This window comes from Homo sapiens, chromosome 6, assembly GCF_000001405.40.
Source record: "Homo sapiens chromosome 6, GRCh38.p14 Primary Assembly".
NCBI classification, from domain to species: domain Eukaryota; kingdom Metazoa; phylum Chordata; class Mammalia; order Primates; family Hominidae; genus Homo; species Homo sapiens.
This window is the reverse complement of record NC_000006.12, coordinates 95,521,378-95,525,303: the sequence shown is the minus strand read 5'-3', so window position 1 is coordinate 95,525,303 and position 3,926 is coordinate 95,521,378. Positions and strand designations below refer to the sequence as shown.

The 3,926-nt window shown below is 33.0% G+C and overlaps 1 annotated feature.

The window, feature by feature from the left end:
- Positions 3,194–3,394: a silencer, noted in NCBI's record as "peak5964 fragment used in MPRA reporter construct". NCBI's record gives its function as "represses an SCP1 promoter by STARR-seq MPRAs in K562 erythroleukemia cells {active_cell/tissue: K562}" and the evidence as "EXISTENCE:reporter gene assay evidence [ECO:0000049][PMID:32103011]".

Here is a 3,926-nt window from a genome sequence, read left to right as displayed (position 1 = left end):
CAGAGTCATAGGTCACTGCTGTGTCTGGAATTGGTGGGTTCTTGGTCTGACTTCAAGAATTAAGCCACAGACCCTCATGGTGAGTGCTACAGTTCTTAAAGATCGTGTGTACAGAGTTTGTTCCTTCCGATGTTCCGACGTGCCCAGAGTTTCTTCCTTCTGTTGGGTTCTTGGTCTGACTTCAATAATGAAGCCACGGACCCTCATGGTGAGTGTTACAGTTCTTAAAGATGGTGTGTCCAGAGTTTGTTCCTTCCAATGTTCAGACGTGTCCGGAGATTCTTCCTTCCTGTGGGTTGGTGGTCTCGCTGACTTCAGGAGTGAAAGTCCACTTTTGCAGGGAGTATTACAGCTCTTAAAGGTGGTGCAGACCCAGAGTTAGCAGCAACAAGATTTATTGGGAAGAGCAAAAGAACAAAACCTCCAGCCTGATGAAGCGGACCTGAGCGACTTGCTTTTGCTGGCTGGGGTGGCCAGCTTTTATTCCCTTATTTGGCCCCACCCACATCCTGCTGATTGGTCCAATTTACAGAGAGCTGACTGGCCCATTTTACAGAGTGCTGAATGGTCTGTTTTACGGAGTGCTGATTGGTTTGTTTTGACAGAGTGCTGATTGGTGTGTTTGCAAACCTTTAGCTAGACACAGAGCATTGATTGGTGCGTTTACAATCCTTTAGCTAGACAGAAAAGTTCTCCAAATCCCCACCCTACCCAGAAGCCCAGCTGGCTTCACCTCTCATTGTAGTATTATATAATATTCATTTAACTAGAATAATAATCAGAAGACTTCAAAAGCAAAGTAGAAATTTACATGGATTACAAACCTTAATCCTTCAAAAGCTAAGTTTTCCTAAGTAACCCAAAACCCAAGAAAGACAATGTAGCAATTACCTTGATAAAATTTATTATCTTTCTTTAAGTTAGTTACTAGAAAGGAAAGAAAAACCTATGCAGTCATTGTTTCCCCTTACAGGAAGCTCATTTAGGTAACCTGGAAGTCAAACTTGATGAAAAAGTTCCTTGAATTATACTAGACACAGAAAGAATGTGTCTAAGGTTATGAGAGTACACTATATTATAGAGGAATGTAAACAAGAAAACTAGTATCTTGAGCTCTTAATAACAGCATGGGAAGTTTTCTGGTTACATGGAACAATTTAGAAACATAAAGAAAAGCCAAGTGTATAGAATCTAATTATATTGGAGGAAAGCATTGCTTTTCTAGGTCTTTAAAATAAACATTTTAGCATCAGGCCACTAACACAAGAGTTAGAAGTGGAGAAATAAGTTACAAGAGTTGACAAAAAAAAAAAAAAAAAAAAAAAAAAGGTTGAGAGAGTTATCCCCTCAGCCAAAGGAAAAAGATATAGCTTTTTAAGAGGAGAAAGAATAGAATGCCATTCTGTTGTGTATAGCCATGATTATGTAAAACTGCAAATCACGTGCACTGAGATACAGCAAAATTTGAACTTCTGAGCTATAAATCTGAGAAATTGCAAAAGGAAAACTTTATCTCAAGAAATGAAATTATTATTGTAAAAGAAAAGGGCAGCATTTTAAATTTGAAACTAGAAAAATTAAATACATCTCAGCAAGAAATGTGGCAGAAATAGAAACTGTCTGCAGTTTAGAAGATGGCATTAAAGAAACAGATTTTAAAATAAAAAATCAAAACCTGTTGGCAAATTTATTAAGAGCAGGTCAATACTTCAAGAAAACTTTGTTTGCAGTATATACGAACAGGCCCTGGTACTATAACAGTGCTTCCTTGCCACCAATGTTTAATTTTTAGAAAAACACATAAATAATTTCTTTTTAGTCTCAGCTTATCGAAGCACACATAAAACTTCCTTTATAAGGCCCATCCTTTACAAATCCTCTTTGACTTGTTTAGACTGTTTATATTTTCTTAACCTCTAAGTCATTCATTTAAAAAAAATTTATTATTAATTTTATCTTAGTACAAAAATTCACTATATAAGATTATTTATCATACAAAATTATTTTTCCTTAAATGTATATTTCTATTAGTAGAGCTAAATATATTTTTATCTTGTTTGGACATGACTAAGAAATTTAATTAATATCTATTTGTTAATTTAACATAATTTTAAGATTTTAAATTACATAAAAGCTTCATTTATAAACATTTATTCCATTTACAATTACCCATTTTATTTAGCTTTTTAACAATTACACCTAGATTACCTATGAAAATTGAGTATTTACACAGAAGTAATCATTATTTTAAGTTGCCCTTCTATAAATAAATTTTATAACCTATAAACAGAAGCCAATTAATGCAAGTGCTGAATATGCAAAAATCAAATAAACCCAAACATGGATGGAAAACAAAGTACATACTAAGAAGAATGATAAGTCACCTTCTCCAACAAAGGAAAAAAAATCGCTTCACTGAAGCCCCGACCCAAAGGGAAAAATCCCTTCATGCAGACCTGCAGCTGAGGAAAAAGAGTCCTCCCCAACAGGAGATCTCTCACCAAAGAGGAATATCAAGTGTTTTCCTAAGTAAGAATTTTAAAGTTAAATGGATAGGTATGTTGTTAGTAACTCAGAAGATACAGCTATTTTTATTAAATCAACAATATTAAATTAATTGTTTTTATCAAAGAATTGCATAAACAAAGATCATTTTCTTTTAGTCTGGTTATACAGCTTCATGACCTTAAAACATCTAGCAGAGGCAAATACAAAACTGTTTAATCAGTAAATTAAGCCAGGCAAAAATGTACATTCATTATTGAAAACATTTCTAACTTTGTGAAATGTGAAAACATTTCTAATTTTATCAACAATTTTTAAACCAGTTAATTTATCAAAGACGTACTTAAGTAAACTAAAAAGAAATTTGAATTAATTACTATACATTTGACATGAGTACTCATTTATTTAAATGTATTCCTTAAAAGATTTCTGGCTGACTATGCCAGATTTATTATGTAGTCACAACATACAACATAATACATGTACATGTGGATAAATATAATAAACATATATACATACCCATAAATAAAGATGTTACAGCTTTTACTTTAGAATTGTAGTCATGAGATAGTAAAACATACAAACTCATTGGTTTATAAAAGACAGTTAGATCCAAACTATTTTTCTGACAAAATGAAATAAGGCTAAACTTGAAGATTTTTAAAAACAGATAATCATATAAAGGCTGTGAACCAAATTTGGGGTATAGCAGTTTGAATTGGTTACCAATACAATGGATTGGACAAAGAATAGTTAACTGTGAAAATGTGACTACATGACAAAAAGATAAGAGGTATTCTAACAAGGTCTGTATGGTATTTTCTTGGTCTCATGTTTTAGTCCTTGAAGATAAGAATGTTGCCATTTCTTTTAGTATAGGGAGAGTATCTTTTGCATGGAAATATTTTCTTTTGCTTTTAGGAAACAGCATGAATGTCATTTTTTTTATATCTGCTGGTTTTCAATTGTTTTTACTTAAATAGTCAGTATGCCAAAATAGCTTAAGAATTTTGGAAACAGAGAGTTTAGCTTAAGAAGGATAAAGAGGAGGAACTGTAGAAAGAGGAGGGGGAAATTCCAGATAGGAAGCACATACTATCTCACCTAGCTTTGAGATAGTATTTAGTAGCAAGGCAAACTTCGAGTCCTGAATCTTGTTTGTTTTTCCTTTTTTGTAAGTATCAGTATTATCAATTGAGCTGTCAGTCTTTTTTGGAGTGTATGAGCTTTTAGCCATGGCCTTTTAGTATAGTTTTAAGGACAACAGACTGTTTGAATGAACATGTTACCGACTGGAGTCCCAGAAAATATTTTGTTATGTCTTTGTACTTTGGGAGCCCAATTCTAACTAAATTTATCTAGGTGATTTGGTTTAATGTCAAATAAACAAAAGCCAATTAAATGCAAGTGCTGAATATGCA